This window comes from Homo sapiens, chromosome 14, assembly GCF_000001405.40.
Source record: "Homo sapiens chromosome 14, GRCh38.p14 Primary Assembly".
In the NCBI taxonomy this organism is placed as follows: domain Eukaryota; kingdom Metazoa; phylum Chordata; class Mammalia; order Primates; family Hominidae; genus Homo; species Homo sapiens.
The window spans coordinates 90798238-90819500 of NC_000014.9; the positions used below are offsets into that span (position 1 = coordinate 90798238).

At 53.4% G+C, this 21263-nt stretch overlaps 1 protein-coding gene across 3 annotated transcripts in view, besides 1 other annotated feature; it reads right to left on the minus strand.

Moving 5' to 3' along the window:
• Positions 1-18193, minus strand: part of TTC7B (tetratricopeptide repeat domain 7B) — a 291867-nt gene extending 273674 nt beyond the window's left edge. For all 3 annotated transcript variants that reach the window (NM_001320421.2, NM_001010854.2, NM_001401365.1), the window contains exon 1: positions 17938-18193. Coding sequence is in view for 2 of the 3 variants with exons in the window: in NM_001010854.2 (NP_001010854.1) it covers positions 17938-18058 (121 nt within the window). In the remaining variant the exon portion in view is untranslated. The remainder of the gene's footprint in view (positions 1-17937) is intronic.
• Positions 18187-18366: a silencer, noted in NCBI's record as "silent region_6013". NCBI's record gives its function as "represses an Ori minimal core promoter by ATAC-STARR-seq in GM12878 lymphoblastoid cells {active_cell/tissue: GM12878}" and the evidence as "EXISTENCE:reporter gene assay evidence [ECO:0000049][PMID:35858748]".

The following is a 21263-nucleotide window of genomic DNA, read 5'->3' on the forward strand; positions in this document are numbered from 1 at the left end:
AGCAAAGTCACCGGGCTGACCCATAGCAGGCCACTGATGGATGAGCGAGCCCTGGCAAGCCCAGAATCATGAGAAATAATAAAAGGTGATTGCTTTAAGGCACTAAGCTTTGGGATGGTTTGTTATGCAGTAATAGCTGACAATCACAAAGATAGCTGAAAAAAGCAAGACACAAAAGAGGGTATATAGTCACTATTGTGTGTAAAAAACAATAGGCCGGACTAGGTGGCTCACACCTGTAATCCCAACACTCGCCTGAGGTCAAGAGTTCGAGACCAGCCTGGCCAACATGGCAAAACCCCGTTTCTACTAAAAATACAAAAGTTAGCTGGTATGGTGGCAGGTGCCTGTAATCCCAGCTACTGGGGAGGCTGAGGCAGGAGAATTGCTTGAACCTGGGAGGCAGAGGTTGCAATGAGCTGAGATCGTGCCACTACACTCCAGTCTGGGCGACAGAGTGAGACTCCATCTCAAAAAAAAAAAAAAAAAAAAAAACACGCAATAACATGTTTTCTTATAAATGTGCAGATATTCAGAATAATTCCTAAAGGAGCCCCTGGAAAGTCTAAAGAGTGGCTGTTCCTATGGAAGGGAGCAAGAGGACATGGACACGATGTAGGAGGCTGTTTTTCACCATATACCCTATAATTCGATTTTTACTACCATGTACATTCATTACCTACAAAAAACATGAACCAGATAATTTAAAAAGAAGAAAGATGACCCATGTCACTGTGTGCTCTTGGTCTAGAGTGGCTATTCTGGCCACCCCAGAGGGGTTCCCGTGGCTCAGTCCATCATCTCAGAGCCAAGGAAGGAGTTTTACATCTGCGATCACTACCGAGAGCCCATCTCCCACTCTCCCTGGGCCTCCAGCCTCACGCACCCGTGCTCCAGGTCCTCAGCATCTTTCCAAGGCCACGGCCATCTGACTCACCCAAGGGTGCTTGGACATGTCATGCCTCCCTCCCTTCTCCTGCCAATATCCCAGGCATCCTTTAAGACACATTTCAGGTCAGCTTGGAGCAGCTTCCCTTGCTCCCTCGGCCTGGGCCATCAGGGTCCTGGTGGCACTTTGCACATCACCCCCATTCATTCAGCACCTGCCAGCACCAAGGACTTACAGCTATGAACAGGACCTAGTGGGTCTCTACCCTCAAGGACCTTACACTCTAGACAGGGAAGACAAAGAGATAAACCAGAAAAGGGCCAGACAGTGGTAAGAGCTGTGCAGAGAAAAGAGGGTGACTGGGGCTACTGTGGACTAGGTGGTCAGATCAGGGAAAGACTCAAGGGCAGGGCATCCAAGACTTCAATGAGGAGATGGAGTCAGTCATGCCCAGATCTGAGCGAAGAGCATTCCAGGAGAGGGAGCAGCTCCTGGAAAGGCCCCGAGGTGTGAACAGAGCTGGTGTGTTCCAGGAACAGCAGGAAAGCCCGTGTGGCTGGGTGGAGGGAAGGGCGTTGGGGTGGAGATAGACAGCGGGGCAGGTAAGCACAGACTGTGGCAAGGGGTCTGGCATTCATGTGAAGTGCAATTGGGAGTCTGAAGGTTTTTAAGCAGGGAGATGAAATGCTCTGATTTAAGTTTTTTTTGTTTGTTTTTTTTTGAGACGGAGTCTCGCTCTGTCGCCCAGGCTGGAGTGCAGTGGCACGATCTCGGCTCACTGCAACCTCCGCCTCCTGGGGTCATGCCATTCTCCTGCCTCAGCCTCCCGAGTAGCTGGGACTACTACAGGCGCCCGCCACCACGCCCAGCTAATTTTTGGTATTTTTAGTAGAGTCAGGGTTTCACCGTGTTAGCCAGGATGGTCTCGATCTCCTGACCTCGTGATCCACCCGCCTTGTCCTCCCAAAATGCTGGGATTACAGGCGTGAGCCACCACGCCCGGCCTGATCTAAGTTTTTAAAAGATGCCTCTGTCAGCCCTGTGGAGAATGGACCCAGGGTGGGGCTGGAGGCAAGGCTACAAATGGTTAGGAGGTAGTAGTAGTCAGGTGAGACGTGATGGTGACTTGGGCAGGACGAGGTGAGAAATATGCAGAAAGAGAGAAATAGACTGAGTGGGGACATCATTTGAAGGTGAAAGATTAAACTGGAGGTGTGGCAGACAGAATAATGGCCCCCAGACATGTCCACATCCTCATCTCTGAAACCTGTGGACATGTTGTTTTACATGGCAAAAGGAACTTTGCAGATGTAATTAAGGATCTTGAGATAGGAGAATTATCCTGGATTATTTGGGTGGGCCCACTGGGTCCTTAGAAGAGGGAAGTTAGAAGGTCAGAGTCCGGCCAGGCGAGGTGGCTCACACCTGTAATCCCAGCACTTTGGGAGGCCGAGGCAGGCGGATCATGAGGTCAGGAGATCGAGACCATCCTGGCTAACACAGTGAAACCCTGTCTCTACTAAAAATACAAAAAATTAGCCGGGCACAGTGGCGGACGCCTGTAGTCCCAGCTACTCGGGAGGCTGAGGCAGGAGAATGGTGTGAACCTGGGAGGCGGAGCTTGCAGTGAGCCAAGATTGCGCCACTGCACTCCAGCCTGGATGACAGAGCAAGACTCCGTCTCAAAAAAAGGTCAGAGTCCAAGGAGATGTTAGGACAGAAGTAGGGAGAATGAATAGAGGACACTAAACCTCTGGCTTTAAAGAAGGAGGAAGGCAGCCAGGCACGATGGCTCACACCTATAATCCCAGAACTTTGGGAGGCTGAGGCAGGAGGATTGCTTGTGCCCAGGAGTTTGAGACCAGGCTATACGGTCCTTGAGAGGAGACCTGTTAACTGAGTTATGGTGCACGCATAGTGAGACCTTGTCTCTATACAAATTTTTAAAATTAGCTAGGCTTTGTGGTGGACGCCTGTAGTCCAAGCTACAGGGGAGGCTGAGGCAAGAGGATCGCTTGAGCCCGGGAGGTCGAGGCTGTAGTGAGCCATGATCACACCACTGCACTCCAGCTTGGGAGACAGAGCAAGACCCTATCAAAAAAAAAAAAAAAAAAAAAGATGGCACTATGCAGTGCCGGCAGCCTCTAGAAGCTGGAAAAGGCACAAACACAGGTCCTCCCCAAGAGTCCCCGGAAGGAACGCGAAACCACTGACACTTGAACTTCGCCCAGTGAGACCCATTTCTGACTCTGACCTCCAGAACGCTAAGAGAAGACATCTGTATTGTCTGAAGCTGGCAAATGAGCGATAATTTGTTACAGCAGCCACAGGAAATGAGCACACAGGATGAGGAAAGGAGAGGGTTGAAGATAAACCCTCGATTTGAGATAGCACAATGGAGCGGAGAGTGGAGCCATTTTACCATTTACTGAGGTGAGGAGGAATAAAACCAAGAGCTCTGTTTGGGCCAAGTGAAATGTGAGACAGCATTCAATATCCAAGTACAGAAATTAAGTCCAGATCAAAGCTGGAGGACTGAGCGGGAAGGACCTGGGAAGAGAAACCACGACCATGTCTGCTACCAAAACCAAGATTAGGAAGGGTTTCTGGAAAGAGGGGTATTTGAGTGCATTGAAAGCTGCTGGAGCGCCGGGCACGGTGGCTCACGCCTGTAATCCCAGCACTTTGGGAGGCCAAGGGGAAGGGGGTGGATCACCTGAGGTCAGGAGTTCGAGACCAGCCTGGCCAACATGGTGAAACCCCATCTCTACTAAAAGTACAAAAATTAGCCAGGTATGGTGGTGGGTGCCTGTAATCCCAGCTACTCAGGAGGCTGAGGCAGGAGAATCGCTTGAACCCTGGAGGTGGAGGTTGCAGTGAGCCAAGATCGTGCCATTGTACTCCAGCCTGGACAACAAGAGCGAAAACTCCATCTCAGGAAGGAAAAAAAAAAAAAAGAAAGAAAGAAAGCAGCTGGAACATCAAGTGTAAGATCACAGACTAGCCATTAGACCTGGCAGCACACGGGCCACATCAGAGGGCAGCCTCGACGTGAGGCATCTCAGGGGACTGCGGGGTACAAGCCTAACTCACTGGACTGAGGGTTTGCTAGGGAAGGGTTTGCAGGGGGCTGGGCCAGTCCTTAGACAGCGATGGGGGTTCAGGGAGCCTTTAGCAGGGAAGTCTAGGGTGCCTGTGCCCGTGCCTGCAGAAGGGAAGGGTCAGGAGAGAAGTGAAGGCTGTGGCAGCCCGGTCCTGAGAGGGTGAGAACGGAAGGGATTCTGAGCACAGGTGAAGGAGCCGCTGGCCTCTGAAGGGAGTGAGGGCTCCAAGCAGTGACAGAGGGCGCCAGCAGTGACAGAGGGGAAAGCTGGTCGAGTTAGTGGCATGAAACAAGGGAGTTTCCTAATTGCTTTTATTTCCTCAGTAAAGTATGAGGCAAGGTCATGAGCTAGGCATGAGAGGGTGGCTTTCAAAGGAAGGGAGGGAGGAGCACATGGAACAGACACTTTGGAGCATGGGAATCCGACCTACTGAAGAGCGGCGGTGCTCCTCCCGGTCTTTGGTCACCATTTGCAAGTAGTCAACAGGGTTGACGGGTACTCCCCAGGGACGCTGCTGCGCAGGTGCAGGCGTGGAGAGGCAGAGAGCCGGGTGTAACAGGGCAGGGACACTGTCAAGCAGCGGGGTTAGAAGAGAAGGGCACACACCTCTCCTAGAAAACATGGATAAGGCCGGGCACGGTGGCTCACGCCTGTAATCCCAGCACTTTGGGAGGCCGAAGCAGGCGGATCACCTAAGGTCAGAAGTTCGAGACCAACATGGTGAAACCCCATCTCTGCTAAAAAAAAAAAAAAATACAAAAAATTAGCTGGATGTGGTGGCACACACCTGTAATCCCAGCTACTGGGGAGGCTGAGGCAGGAGAATCGCTTGAAACCGGGAGGCAGAGGTTGCAGTGAGCTGAGATCACACCACTGCACTCCAGCCTGGGTGACAGAGCGAGACTCCGATGCAAAAAAAAAAAATATGAATGAGTTGACCCCATGTAAGCCATACCAGGTCACCCCTCCCCTCTAAACCCTCCAGTGGTTCCACTCTCCCCCCAAGTGAAGGCCAAAATCCTTGTAACTTACCACCTAGCCACTACCTCCATCTATCCCCTCATACTTATGTTCTAGCTGCAGTGCTTGGGCCATAGGAGGGGCTCCATAAATATTTCTGGAATCAACCAATCAATATATCTCCCCTTCACAGATGGAGCCCAACCAAGCAGGCTGGCCTCAGGAGACTCAGCTCCCCTGGGGTGCCTGGGACACAGTCTGGCCATGACTGTGGGCCAGAATTCGGACCTTCCCATTCCCACTGCAGGGCTCCTGCTGGTTCCTCCCGACTCCCATAACTCTCCTGGTTTAAACTGTGGCCCAGTTCAGAGGGCCTGGCTAGTTGGAACTCTTGACTGAAAAGCAAAGATGGCAAAAGGCAAAGATGAAGGGGCCCAGAAGAAGTTGGCAGAAACAATATTCTGGGAAAATCTTGGTAGTCAGAGACCAGGCTTCATGCCAAGCCTCCCCCCACATCTACACACACAGCGCAGAGGCTAGAAGAACAGGATGGGAGAGTAAAGTGTGGGAAGAGAAGACAATCCTTCCGCTACACTGGCAGAAGAGATGAGTACGCTGGTCACACACACACACACACACACACACAATTCCTAGAGAAGCCTGATACAAGAAAAGGTAACCTGAAAGTCACTAGCGTAGAGCTGGTTTGGCCTGTCCCCGGAGCCCAGCAGGGCAGGAAGTGACTCTACCAGGCAGGGGGATGTTATCAGGCCGGCCCAGAGGGCTTGGAAATGGCCTCTCAGGAAGCCAGCTCCACACAGGCAAGTTCAACACACTCGCAGAGAGCCAAAAGAAAGAGCTGTGGCCGGGCGTTGTGGCTCACGCCTGTAATCCCAGCACTTTGGAAGGCCGAAGCAGGCAGATCACGAGGTCAGGAGATCGAGACCATCCTGGCTAACACGGTGAAACCCCGTCTCTACTAAAAATACAAAAAATTAGCCGGGCGTGGTGGGGGCGCCTGTAGTCCCAGCTACTCGGGAGGCTGAGGCAGGAGAATGGCGTGAACCCGGGAGGCGGAGCTTGCAGTGAGCCAAGATCACCACTGCACTCCAGCCTGGGTGACACAGCGAGACTCCGTCTCAAAAAAAAAAAAAGAAAAGAAAAGAAAAGAAAGAGCTGAAGCCTCGAGGCTGCAGGTCTGTGGGTGGACAAGTGGCACTGAGTCCTGGCCTGGTGGTGTGGAGAGGCCCCCAGGACGCTGAGAGGAGTGTCCAGAGCAAATGAGATCTGGGCCGGGCCTGAGGGACTTCTCCAAGTGTGGCAGGAGTTTCCCAGGTGTGATTCCAGGCGGAAAGGAGGCTCAGCACGGTTGTGAGTGCGGTGGAGCAGAGGCTAGGAAGGGATGCCACAGGCTGCAAGCCAGCTGCAAAGGGTCTCAGAGACCACCTCCCCAGGCCTCAGGGCCTGAGACTCAGTGGCGAGTCACCTCCCTTGGCCTGGTAGGCAGCATTTACTGCGGGTCCCAGGGCTTGGCACCTGGTCGACTGGACACTCGCTGGGGCTAGCTCACTTCAGAGAAAACACTGCTTCCTGTTAGGCTTCGGGCCTGCAAGGGCCAGGGGGGTAGTTCCTCAAGGGAACCAGGCCTCACAGCAAAAGGGCTGAGCCCATCTGCATTTGCGGAGAGATGAGGACCACAGAGGGGCGGTGGAGGGGACCTGAACCCCTCTCTGGGGAAGGCTGCTCAGCAAGTGTCCACCATGCAGGTCCACAAAAGCCACAGGGAGGGAAGGTCATGGGCATTCCGTCAGCCCCGCCAGCAAGCCAGGACTCACCCGGAGCCCCAGGCAGGCAGGGCTACACAGCCACCCTGGAGATGACACCAACAGTCTTCGGCGTGGGACCAGGTCTCGGGTGGACGCCCACAGCCACTCCCAGTCCTGAGCACGTGCCCAGGTCTGCTAAGAGTTACAGGTGCATCTCAGACATCAGTCCAGGGCCTCGGGCCAGTGGCTGGCACACAGTAGGTGTTCAGTAAGAGCTCGATGAGTAATGAATCTAAGTAAACTCCTCAAGGGCAGAGGCCAAGGTGTCTTGTTCTGTCACCCAGGGTAGTGTGCAGTGGCGCGATCTCGGCTCACTGCAACCTCTACCTCCCGGGTTCAGGCAATTCTCCTGTTCTCCTGCCTCAGCCTCCCGCGTAGCTGCGATTACAGGCGTGTACCACAATGCCCGGCTAATTTTTTTGTACTTTTAGTAGAGACAGAGTTTCACCATGTTGGCCGGGCTGGTCTCGAAATCCTCACCTCAGGGGATCTACCCACCGTGGCCTCCCAAACTGCTGGGATTGCAGGCATGAGCCACCGCGCCCGGCCTAAACCTCACCTCTATCTGCAAGGTTGGAACAGGGGTAAGGAGGGATTCAAGGGTACCCAGAGCTGGCTTCGCTTTTCCCTCGGGCATTATTTGGGGTTTAAGTGAGGCTGCAATAACCAGCTCCCAACGACTTGTATACAGAGATAAAGCCTGAAGCCGAATAGAGACCACTAGTGAGACTCTCATCAAAGAGATATGGGGAATTAGCCGCCCTGCAGGGGGTCCGTGCCCTGCCTCAGCTCATCAGAGTCACTCCTGTGAGCCCTGCGGCGGGCACAGCTCAATGCCCAGGGGCACTTGGCCTCCTTGATCCCCCGGGGAAGGTGGGGCTGTGGCCTTTGCCTCTGGAAGGGACTGCCCTTCCTCCTGGTTCCTCCCATGCAGGATAAGCAGCTGACATGCAAAGATTTGATCAGATGAGAAAGAAAAAACTTAAGAGTTTCTTCTCTGTTCCTGGAAGTACTTGACACGAACACAAAAAAAAGTCAACAATTCCGTTTCATTGAATAATTAATTGAGCACCAACTGTATGCCAGACACTGTTACTGGTGGTTGGGATACAGCAATGAACAAAACCAGCAAAAAGCCTCGCCCTCCCGGGGCTGAGAGTCTAGTGGTCACATTCCTGTCTGCATCCCCGCTACACATACAGCACCCCCACATTCTGTGCTGGGCTCGCCAAAGCACTGAATGAACGGCTGGAGGAGGAGGACTGTGGAGTCTGGCAGCCGTGGGCTGAAGCCCGTGTTCTGCACTGCCTCGTTCTGTGACCCAGCCAACACCGCGCTGCTTCAGCTTTGGGCCTGAGTCACAATCAGTACAACCAGAACCCCACCTCCCCGCTGCAGGGCTTGCTACATCCACTATCACTGCTGCTGTTATCAGCCCACCTGCCCCCTGCACCCTTTGCAAAGAAACCGAGCATCTGAACCTTTCCATCCTACTTCCACACACAAGACTCCTGACTCAGTCAGGCTGCTTTCAAATAATGCTGGTGCCGGAAACTGCACTGTCTCATTTACTCCACAAAATAACCTTGCAGATAAAGGTGAGGCTTAGGCCAGGCACAGTGACTCAAACCTGTAATCCCAGCACTTTGGGAGGCCAAAGTGGGCAGATCACTTGAGCCCAGGAGTTCGAGACCAGCCTGGGTAACATGGTGAAACCTCATCTCTACAAAAAATACAAAAATCAGCTGGGCATAGTGGTGCTTGCCTGTAATCCCAGCTACTCGGGAGGCTGCGGTGGGAGGATTGCTTGAGCCTGCGAGGTTGAGGCTGCACTGAGCCGTGATCACACCACTGCACTCCAGCCTGAGCGACAGAGTGACACCCTATCTCAAAAACAAAAAGAGTGAGGCTCAGAGAAGTTAAGTCACTCACTCACTTGAGGCCAGACAAGCAGGAAGTGACAGAACCGAGATCTGAACCCAGGTCTAACAGGGCAAAGCCCACTGCTTTCTCCTGCCCGGGGTTCCTTTCCCCTTTGCTAAAATACCTCTATCTACCTGAAAGACTACCGTTCCACTTGCCCAGGACTGAGGGAGCTTCTGGGACTCAGGACTTTGGATGCTACAACCAGAAAAGTCTCAGGCCAACCAGGACGAGTTGGTCACCCTCACGCCACCACCCTGCCCAAGATCCTCCTCCTGGTGCCCTGCCAGGCCCTGCTTACCCACTCACTGCCACTGAGTCTGACCTCTCCAGGCTCCCAGCTGCACCCTCTGTGCTTGTAAGCAATGCTGTCATTGCTGTCCTCAGGCTACAGGGTCACATTCTGTCTCCCACTCGGACAACCACGTCTAAAGTCTGGTCCTAGAACTCCGGGCACCATAATCACTTGGGGCCCTGGGATCCTGCTTCCTGAGTCCCTAAACCACTAAGACCTCCTGAAGCAGAAGCTCAGGCCCAGCCTGCCCATCTGAGTTGCTAACTAGCCCCCAGGGGACCCTGCTGCCCAGAGGTTGAGCGACAATCCTGAACTGTAAGTTTCCCTGCCTGGTGACCTGCTCACTCTATTTCTTCTGATGCCCCTCTGATACCTGGTGCTGTGCCCACACATAGTAGGTGCACATTAAATGCTAACCATTGTGGTTCAGAGCAAAGGCTCCCACACTTGCCTACTCAAACTAACTGAGGCTGTTTACAAATGTAGATTTCCAGCTTCTACCTTGGGCCGAGAGAATCACCACCCTCAGCCAAGATGTCTGGTAATCTATAAACTACACTTAGTTTAGTATTTGGCTCAAAGCATGCTGCATACCTGCAACACTGGGAGCTTAAGAATGCAGAACCCCAGCTCCACCCTAGACCTACTATATCAGTATCTCTGGGAGTGGGGCTTTGCAATCTGGATTCTAACAAGCTGTCTAGAAGTGATTCTTTGATCCAATCAGTTTAGAAAAACATTAGTGTAATAGAAGAACAGTGAAACTAGTTGGAAGTGGGCTAGAATCCAGTTCAATTAACGGCTCTAGCCTCAGTCTACTCAAGCCCTGAATGAGAATTACCCCTGACATCATTCGCTTGTTGTGATGATTAACTGAGATCTGTGTAAAAGTTCATAGCCAGAATCTGGCACACAAGAGAGACGCAAGAGGCTGGGCACAGTGGCTCACGCCTGTAATCCCAGCACTTTGGGAGGCCGAGGGAAGAAGATCACTTGAGCCCAGGAGTTCGAGACCAGAGTGGGCAACATAGGGAAACCCGTCTCTACAGAAAAAATGAAGAGAGAGAGAGAGAAAGACAGAGAGAGACCCAAGAAATGCAGTTCATTCTTCTTCCCTGCTAGCACTATTTTAACACTCATCAAGTCAGGACAGCTACAGTTTCAGATGATCATGTGATGTGTACAAGGTGGCTTGGAGGGCAAATGCAGAAGATTCTGACTCCAGGCCTGGTGGCCTCTAAAAGGACCAGACCAGATCTGCTCTACATGGTTCTGGTGCTGCCACCACTAGCCACACTTGATGAGCAGGGACAGACAAATCCCATGGGTGGAAGGGCTGCAGCCACTCCATTAGCTTTCCTGTGGCTGTGGCCGTCTTTCATATTTTATATGGCACCCATTTGACCTATCTCTGGGTCAGACATCCGCTCATCCTTGTCTTGGTGGCTGATGGGAATGCTTTTGAGGTCTCAGAAAACCTCATCCCTCTTCCTGGGCTTCCCAGGTGGGAGACACTGGCTTTCACGCATGTCAAAGGCCTGCAACCCGCCACCATCTACCAAGCATGAGGTCATTCAGAGGGGCAGGAATCCACCCACGTGTGGCCAACGTGAATAAGAACCAAAGGCCATTCCTGCGTGCCCAGGGCACAGCTGGCCGGGCAGCTGGGGTGCAGGGATGCTCTGGGTAAGTAAGAGGTGTACCAGTTAGAACGCCTTCAGCAGCCAGTAACGACCAAACGCCTGACTCAGTGTGGCTTCAACAAGAAGGAATTTATTCTCTCACATAACAGGAAGTCCAGAGAAGGGCTGCTCCAGGCCCAATTGCCATCAGCAGCCTGGTGATATAATCGAGTGAGATTCTTCTTGTCTCTCTGCACCGCCACCCTCCTTGGGTCTGCCTTACTCCTGGGTCAGGTGCCCTCATGGCCATAAGATGGCCACAGCTCCAGGCCTCAAAGATATGAACGATTTCCAGGGGAAAAAGAGAGACTACTTCTTCCCTTTTAAGCATGGATGTCACCCTTAAGCAAAAGGAAATCTTTCCCAGAAGCCCCTCCACTGAGCAAATGTTCCCTGACGTCTCATTGGTCAGAACTAATTCACATGCTTGCACTTCAGCCAATCACAAGCAAGGGAGTGTATCTACTGGGGCCAGGGCCCCTACAGTGAAGCACACAGCACCACTGCTGACAGCTGAACAAAACTGGGCCCAATCAAGGAGGAAAATGGGTGGGAGTCCGAGCTGGAAGACAGCGGTGGAGAATGCTGGATTGACAACCAGGGAACCTCTGGCTGGCCCTGACTCACAAGACCCCACCAACCCCAAGGGCAAACACTTGTCCTTGCAGGACGCCATTTCTCAGGGCCAGAGTCATCACGTAATATTGATGTAACTTGGCCCTCGCTTCCATTTTGGAAAACCCTCGGCCTGACTTCCTTACTTACACCTGTTCCAACTGCTCATGAAAGCCGAGCCAATTCAACACAGCATGTGCTGTGAGCCCAACTCCATGTCATGGGGCCAGAAAGGTAGAATTGGCCCTCTAGAAGCTGACCATTTGGTAAGAAGACAAGGCACATGCCAAAATCGGTGGAGTAGGGGAGGGAAACAGCCCTGAGCTGGGAGATGGGAGTGGATAACACCCACCACCACCAGCAACAGAAAACAGCTGGTAGCTAGTGAAGGCTCACTCTATGCAGGCACTAAGAAGCACTTTTAGGTATTTTGGTTTTTTCTTCATTTGATCCTTACAACCTCCCTATAAGTTTGGCACTATTATTACAGGTTCATAATACCTTACCTACAGTTTCTGAAATCCAGGACTCTCTAAAAACCAAAAGTTGTTTTTTGTTGTTAATCATTTATGGGATGGCAGAAACCTCAACTGAACCCATGTGAGGCTATTTATAGTCTATTTCTCCCTTTTGCAGTGACTGCTCATATGCTTTGATGCAGAAATACTGACCCATTTTATTACAAAATGCCGCCCCAGACCCCATTGGGAATGTCACATAATGCCCAGTAAACATAACATGTTTCAAAAAATTCTGCATTCTGAAATACATCTGGCCCCAAGGGCTTCCGAAAAAGGGTTTTGGATGTTGTGTCACCAAAGGGGGCTTTGCAAGTTGAAGGTTACCCCCCATAGGAAGCAGGTGAGCCATGCTTTGAAATCAAGCAACCCAACTCCAAGCCAGGGCTCTTACCCACTGTGCTTGCTTCTGCCACTTGCTGGTTGGTGGCTTTAAGGAAGACATCTCCCTCTCTGGCACTGTTTTGTCATCTATAAGAGGTTGGACTACATCAATGGGTTTCAAGCTTCTTTGTTTTAAAAGTGTATTAGCCCTTCCTTCAAAGGAAACCTTAAGGAAAAGTGTAACTGCTCCAGCGAGTGAGGCCTGCTCACCCAACCACCAGAGCCCTAAAGCATGTTCCCAGAGGGGTTCCTTGACAGCACAGTTTGAAAACTGCTACACAGCATAATCTGTAAGGTCTTCTCTGGTTCTAACATTGTATGATTGTCTTCTGTAAGGCAAACAGCCTTTTCTGTGATGAAAGGACAGCTGGGAGAAACTTGAACCAGACCTTGACAGATGGGTAGGCTTTTGATCTGCAGAGAGGATTCCAGAGTCAAATAGCGTGAGCAAAGGTGCACAGACAATAAGCAAGGTGTGTGGGAGGGTCCAGGAGGCCAAAGTAGCCGAGGGAAGTCGGGGGAATGAAGGCAGTGCAGCAGGTGACATAAGGACATGCTGGAAAGGTTGGCCAGACCAAGCAGATGGATGAGGCTGAGGACGAGCTGCACAGCCCCAGCCCCACTGTGCACAGCCACAAGAAATCCAAATCCTTCTGCCCTGACTACCATGGCCACGAGCCCCAATCCCAGCTCAGTGCCATCAATCAGTCACTGTCAAATAAATGAGTCTTCTGAATCCAAAAATCAGGACATATGGTCTGCCACAAAGGTGTGGTCTTCTGATGACAAGAGGACAGAGTGTTTGAAAGCAGGAAGACTGGCCCAGAAAGGCCATAATAGTGGGTCACCAGAGATCTCACTGGTGTCCTTCCCCACATTCTGGGAGGAGTTGGGCTCCCAGGAGTCTGTGATGCCCCAGGTATGTCCAAAGAAGCCACCTCTAAACAACAGGGGCTGCCTCACCCCACAGCAGTGACTCTCAGTTAAACCTCAGTCCTGTTTCCAGAGAAGACCCTCAGGCCAGCCAGGGAGGACCATAGTCCACCCCGACTCCTCTTCTTCACAGGAGGGTGTGCATGACCAGGTGTCGTCTAGGAGCCCAGGACCCTGCACCCTCCACCAAGGGGAAGCCACATCACTGTGGATGCCCGTGCTTAAAACAACACAGATCTCCACATCCTCTTCTTCATGGCCTGAAAACATTTGCTTACCAAACTATGCCCCAGAAATACTCTTTGTTTCAGGCACCATTTCCCTACCTACCCGTCACCACGAGGTAATTAAAATGTCTCAAAATCTTATAGGATCCGACAGGCAATGATCTCCTAAGGGAGAAGCTACCATTTGGGGCCTAATCTTTCTAAGTGAACTCAGTCGCCGAGCTTGCCTAAGAAGATTAACAGGCTGGGGAAGGCGGGAAGCCACACTGCCTCAGAAAAGGGAGCAGCCGTCCGTCAGGACAGTCGCAGACCTCCAATGTGCCTGTTTGTCATTGCAATAGGTGGGAGTCTTGACCGGGCACTAGCTCAACTGTGTCATTTCTTGGTCCCCCACTCTCTTTTTTCCCTGCCAGGCTGACAGCTGGGACCTGGCCTACCTTGCCCAGGGTCACAAGGGGTCAGCTGCAGGGAACCAACCCCATTATGACCATGTGCCCTGGCTGACAGGTACCATCCCACTGAATCCTCACACGTGCCCTGAGAGTGGGCATTCTGAGCTGGCTGAGCAGGGAGGAAAGGCAGGCTCCGAGAGGCTAAGAACCTGGCTGGAGATCACCTAGCCACTACAGGTAAGGTCCAAATTTTAGACCCGGTGCCAGGTCACTGCACTTTCACACACAGTGGTGACCTCATCATTGGGAGGCTGGAGGGTGACATTCTGTAGAGAGAGGACAGCTGGGCCTGTCCTCCCAGAGACCAGGACCGACCTGTGAGCCCACATGAAGCTGATGTGCAGCTCTGTCTTTATCCCTGAGCGCTCAGGCTGCTGCCTCAGCTCCAAGCCAGGGCACCTCAGGCTTCTCTGAGTCCCCCAAACCCCTGGACACCTTGCTGAGATGTGGATTCTAACCCTGCACGTCTGAAGCCGGCCCAAGAATCCGCATTTCTCACAGGTTCCCGGTGGTGCCCCTGCCACTCATCCCCAGGCCACACTTCAGCCCACGAGGGCCTAGGCTTCCGGGGGACTGTCTCCCACCCCCACCCTTAACTTAGGTGACCATTCTCTCAGTGGGACTCACCCGGGTCTGGTGCACAGCTAGGTTCCACCACATTTGGGTTTTTTGAGATGGTGCAATGAAAATGGTGACTACGGTAGGGTACGAGGAAGAAGACAGACCTCTGGGTTCACTTTTCAACTTGGCATTTGTCCTTTTCTTCCTTATCCACCTCTTGGCAAAACATCTAAACCAATTCATCTCAAAGGAGCCAGGCTGGGGCAGTACACTCTGAAAGTGTCCACTATTTAGAGTCCTTAACGGGGAGGGGCTGCCACGCTTCCTTCCCGTAAGGAGCTAATGCTGCTGGGTGGGGAAGCCCACTACAAGTGGGAGCTTTGGGAAGGAGGGATTCCTCTGCTCAGAACTCTCCCATAGCCCTGTCTCACTCACAGGAAAGCCAAAGCCTTACCCTCGGCCTATCAGGCCCCGCCACTTTCTACCCATGAAGTTCCCTCCCTAGAACATGCTTCTCCACCTCCTTAGGTCTCATCTCAGATGTTGCCTTCTTGGGGACACCTTTCAGGGCCACCCTATTTAAACTAGTAGTTCCTGCAACCCCCACTCCCAGCCCACTCCAAAGCACCTATTCACCTTCCCCTTTTTCTCTTTGATAGCACTGACCACCATCTGACACCCTGTAAACTTTACCTAATGATTATATTGATTATCTGTCTCCCTGCCCCTTTCCTACTGGGATGTGAGTTTCATAAGGGCTGAGATTTTTGCCATTTTTGTCTGTTTTGTTTACCAGTGTATTTCCAGTGCCTAAAACAGTGGCTAGCACAGAGCAGGTACTCAATCTTTGTGGAAGGAAGGAAGGAATGAGTGGCTGGCCCTGAGAGACATTAGCTACTTTAACCCTCATAACAACCCCTGCAAGGTAAGTCATTTAAATCCCGTTCTAAAATGAGAAAACTGAGGCTCAGAGTGGTTAAGTGATTTGGCCAATGTCACAAAGTCAAGAAGTGGCCAAGGTCACAAGAATCAGTCCCCCATCTGGCTGGCTCCAAACACTGTATTCTTTTTTTTTTTTTTTCGCCTGTGGTTGTTTTCATGGTAACTGTCTTAGTGTGACAAACGTGACATTCACTTGCTTTCCTTATTCTAAGCAGAAGATGCTTTAACTTCAGGATTTTGCAAAATCTGCCCAGAACTTGTGCTCATGCACCCGAGAATCTATGGGGGAGCCGGTGCCCCCAAAAGCCAGGAAGAAGTCCCTCTACCAGCCCGAGAGTGGGAAGGCCTCACCAGTCAAACGGAGGGAAGGCCCCTCTTGCAAACACCAAAGGAGAGCCACAATCATTCTAGTTTAGTTTCATCTTTTTCTTGGCTTCATCGTTTTATTTTCCTGAGCACTCACTCTGTCTGATCTTTTCAAGTCCGGGTAACTTTTTGCCATCAATGGCTACCACTCACCATGTGAGTCTCTAGGACAAAAATCTATGTCCCATGAGTTTCCCCAAACTGAACTTGCACACAGACCCATGGACCACAGTGCCCCCGCAAACCCCGATCCCCAAGCCCCACTCATGACTGCATCTTAGGACATTGGGAGCAGCCCCTGGGAAGAGAGCTAAGCCTTTCGGGGGCCATGAAGGTGAATAGGAAGGGCCCAGGCCACCAAAAACCCATCTACCCTCTCATTCCAGGGACCATCATAGCTTGAGTCCCCCTTCATCTGCCTGTCATTCTCAATCACATTAACTCATCTGTTTTGTTTCAATCACTTCTCACTATCTGAAGCTGTGCTGTTTATTTATTTCCATATTTGCTTATCACCTGCCTCCTGAGAGCAGGGTGAGGGCATAAGGGCAGGGGCTTGGTCAGTGCTGTTCACCACTGTTCTGTGACTGGCACAGGTGGGCACGCAAATATTGGGTGAATGAATAAGCAAAGACAGCAGGAAACAAGTGGATTCAGAAGAAAAAAGACCAGGAGGCTCACAAATAAACCCATTTAATCCTAAAATCAACCTGCACAGAAGGTGTCATTATGCCTACACCGCTGGGAAGCCACAAAGTAGACCCAGGACTGTGCAACTCCGAGAGGAAAAGAGAAAATGCTGCAGGTAAGCGGAGAAGCAGGTGAGCCCGACACGGAGGGCAAAGGCAAGCTGCCTCTGGGGCCCAGGGCACTGAACACCATCTCCTCAAAGGCTGACATAACTGAGAAGGGTCCACATTTTCCACCAAGTGGAGCCCGTGTAGGGTCGGTGCTATCTCCATGCCCCTGACACACCATGGCACCTGCGTTCACCCAGAAGGTACCTGCCCACAGCATGCATCCATCATTGAGAGTGCGCAAAACCAAGTTCTAATTTCCAGGCACTAATACCATAGGACACAAACATAAACCACCCTCCAGGAGGACACCTGACATCCCTCTCCTTTCTGGGTAGTCTGAAGTGAGAAGGTTGAAAATAGTGCAGATGTCCTTTCTTAGAGCAGCCCCGCCATCCATTCATTCACTCTTTCATTCATTTGTTCAGCCAACATGTGCTCACTGGGCCTGGGGAAGCCCAGGATGAAATGAGACAAACCCTCTGCCCTCTGGCCACGGTGTGCTGGTGCCTGCGCTTTAGGCGGGTACTAAAAGACAAGCAAATATTAAAGATACTCGCTTCCAAAACAAATAAGGCCACGTGGAGCTGTGCACTGGAATGGGATTCTGGATGCAATTTTATTTGATTGGGTACAAGAACCAATCCAGTTAAAGGGGTCATGAACCAACTCCAGGCACCAGGCTCCTACTCAGAGGCTGCCTCAGACCCCCTTCTGGCCCAGGCACCAACCCCTCACCCACCCAACTCCATCTCCCGACATTCTTCAACCACATTCCCATCTCGCTCCACAATATTCTCCCTCCAGGTCCCCCTGACTCTATTTCTCCTCTATTCCCAACCCTGACCTCTCTAGGTCGGCAGCCTTGATGCTACTTCTCCGAACGCCAGGACGCACATCCCAGCCTGCTTTCTACCACCACCCCACACACCTCGAGTCTGCGCTTCCACCCAGAACCCCTTAAACACCATATGTTTACAAACCAGATTCCCCAGGGGTCTATGTACAACACCCCATTCTCAAGACCCCATAAACACATCCTGATTCCCTGAGCACACCATACACACACTGTGGACTTCACCCATGTCCTGAGGGACCCCCTCACCCCATCACCTCCAACTTCTTGGAAGCCCCAGGCCGGCCCCTGACCTCCTGTGGTCCCAGTGGAGCAGCGGACTCGCTGAGACCCCCGGACACCCCAGACTCCGCAGAAGCCCGCCCTGCACGCTTGAACCCCAGGCGCCGGGACAGCCCCTGGCGCCCCCCCGGGCCCCCACACCGCGTGACTCCGGGGCACCCGGGCTCCCCCAGGCCCCGGTCCCGCGCACATCCCCTGGGCCGCAGCTCCCTCGCGGCCCGGCCGCGCCCCTGCCCGCGCCCCGCGCCCGGCCGCGCCTCGGGGGCCCGTTCCCGCGGAGGCCGCGGCGCCCCCCGCAGCCCAGGCCGGCGCGCCCGGAGCGTACCGTTGGCGATGAGCTTGGCCGACAGCTGCTTGACGAGCTCAGGGATCCGCTCCCACTGGCACTCGGAGCGGCAGCGCTCGATCTCCGTCTCCAGCCGCGAGCCTGCCTTCTTGGTCGCCATCGCGGCCTGGCCGGGCCCGGCCGCCCGCCCCGCAGGCCCCACCGCCGCCGCCGCGGCGCCCCCTCGCCGCCTCCCGCCGCCGCCGCGGGCTCGGGCTCCGGCTCCCGGCTCCGCGGCGTAACGGGAGCGCCGGCTGGGGAAGGGGCGGGGAGGCGGGCGGCGGCGGCGGGCGCGGCGGGGCCCCGGGCGCCGCGAGGAGCGGCCCCTGCCGGCCAGGGCCGGAGCCGCAGCACTGACCGGGGCCGGAGCCAGGGCTGGGGCAGGGGCGGGGGCTAGGGCGGGAGACAGGGGCCCGAGGGAGGAAAGGCGGGGTGGGCATGGAGGACAGGGAGAGGGACTGGGGGTGTCTGGGGCGGGGTGAAGACCGAGGGGAAGTGGGGATGGGGGTGGGGGAGCGGGGTAGGAGAGAGATCTGACCAAGGGCGGGTGAGGGGTCTGGTGGGGTAGGGGTCTGGGCAGGATGAAGGGGAGGGAGAGGATCGGGAGGGAGCTAGCGACAGCCTGGGAGCGGGTTGGATCCCCAGGAGTAGGGCCAAGAAAGGGCAGTGACCCTGGGGAAGGTCACCGCCCGGTGGGACCAGTGAGCCAGGTGTGAGGGGTGGGGGGAGGCCTGCCCGAGTTTGTCCTGCCATCTCAGGTGGCCAGCGGTTCCCTGGGGCCCGGTTGGCCTGTGCCCCTTAGCAGATGCCCCTCTGCCCCGCAGCCTTAGCCCCTACCCAGCCAGAGGTGGACGGAGACTCCTCCATCCCAGGCAAGGCACAGCACCTGCCAGGGGTGCCCTAGATGGCTGAGCGGAGCCAGGCAGGGGCTGCCACTCTCACACGCCAGCTCTCGGACCCCCTGAGGGGAAGGCACAGTCACTGGTGGGGCCTCCTGTCTTGGCCACCTAGACTGAGACCTAGGGAGGTGTCCCTCTGTGTTCTCTCAGTGAATCAACTGTCTAGTGATCACCTACTATGTGCTGGGCGCTGCTTTAGGTGCCAGAGATAGAATTGTGAGCTAAAAAAACAAAATTCCTGGCTTGAGAGAGCTTACATTCCAGTTTGGGGGAAAAATAAGCAAAATAAAATAGTAAACTAGACTGTAAAAATGGCTATTTGAAGAAACAGGGAAGGGTTCAGTGAGGAACATAAAGAGTTGGGACAGGCGGGTGGCTCATGCCTGTAATCCCAGCTACTCAGGAGGCTGAGGCAGGATGATTGCTTGAGCCCAGAAGGTGGAGGCTGCAGTGAGCAGTGAACGCACTTCAGCCTGAGCAAGTGTTGCCATTTAAAATGGAGCAGTCAGGGATGGCCTCACGGAGGTGGCATTAGACTTGAAGAAACTAAGGGGGAGCCATGAGGATATCTCTGGGGGAGGAGTATCCCAGGCAGAGAACACCACAAGTGCGAAGGCTCTGGGGTTAGAGCACACTGGGTGGGATGGAGAAATGGCAGAGGCCAGAGGGGCTGGGTGGAGCGAAGGAGAGGGGCCGAGGCAGGAGATGAACTCTGAGAGGTTGGGGGGAGTTCTGTGTAGTGCCTGGTGGGCCATTATAAGACCTTGGCTTTTGGCTGGGCACGGTGGCTCACGCCTGTAATCCCAGCACTTTGGGAGGCCGAGGTGGGCGGATCACGAGGTCAGAAGATCGAGACCGTCCTAGCTAACATGGTGAAACCCGTCTCTACTAAAAATATTTTTAAAAATTAGCCGGGCGTGGTGGCAGGCGCCTGTAGTCCCAGCTGCTGGGGAGGCTGAGGCAGGAGAATGGTGTGAACCCGGGAGGCGGAGTTTGCAGTGAGCTGAGATGGCAGCACTGCACTCCAGCCTGGGCAACAGAGAGAGACTCCGTCTCAAAAAAAAAAAAAAAAACTTTGACTTTTACTCTGGTGACATGGAGCAGCCCTGCAGGGCTTTTCACGGAAGAGTGGCATGATCAGACCTACACTTTGGACTATCACTGTGACTGCAGTGTTGAGAATACTGCCAGGGAAATAGCTGTGGTGGTGGCAGTGTTGGATTCTGGGTCCTGCATTTGAGAGTGAAGCGGTCAGTCTGGAAGGTTCCGTAGCCCGCCCGCAGTCACAAGGAGGCACTGAGGGGTCGTCGTCATTCCTTCTGGGTGCCCTTACTCCAACTTTCCAAGAGCAGTCACACGCAGGTTCTTATCCCCACCACAACTCCCCCACCACCGGAGTTGATGAAGAACACACACTGTGGACCTCAGTTTACCAATGAGGAGGCTGAATCACAGACATTTAAGAGAGGTGAGGAGGAAAGATAAGGAGATGTGTTCTGATGTGACCAGTATCACTTTCAGGTGCCTCAGGGACTGCCAAGGTGATGGAAGTTGAGCTGACAGGCCCTGGACACTGTGAACAGCCCAGGGAAAGGGGAACTAGAACGTTAGAGTTTCAACAGGGGACCCTTTAGTGCCCTGGCCCTTAGCTCCCACCAAGAGGGAGCAGGAAGGGAAGGAGAAGAAATCTCCACAGGAGATGTTTCCTCTCTCCTGACACCCTCCTGTTCTCCCAACTCCAGTCTGCCTCTCCAGATTTGCTGGGAATGTTCTCCATCTGGACCAGGAGACAGATTCCTGTGCCTTCTTTCAGACACGGGCCAAAGGTTACTGGGCAGCCTTGCTCAACATCTGACAGACCTTGTGTGACAGCACTTGCCATCTCCCTCTGGGAAGGGGCAGGGTCTTAATCATGACTAACGCATACACTGCCTCAGTTGCCACACTGGAAGGTAAATGATGAGGGCCACCTGTCTGCCTCCCTACCTGATAAGGTGGCTTCATGAGGACGGATGCTGCCTGGGCCATGGCATTTAACATCCCCAGGCCTCCATTTCTTGGCTGTGATACCTCCCCCTGGAGCTCGTTGAGGAGGAAATGAGGAAATACAGGTAGGGCACAGAGAACAGTGCCAGCATGCCAGGCTCTGTGGCTCACGCCTGTAATCCCAGCAGTTTGGGTGGATCACGAGGTCAGAAGATCGAGACCTTTCTGGCTAACATGGTGAAACCCTGTCTCTACTAAAAATACAAAAAAATTAGCCGGGCATGGTGGTGGGCACCTGTAGTCCCAGCTACTCGGGAGGCTGAGGCAGGAGAATCGCTTGAACCCATGAGGTAGAGGTTGCATCTCCATCATGCCACTGCACTCCAGCCTGGGTGACAGAGCAAGACTCCATCTCAAAAAAAAAAACAGTGCCAGTGCACC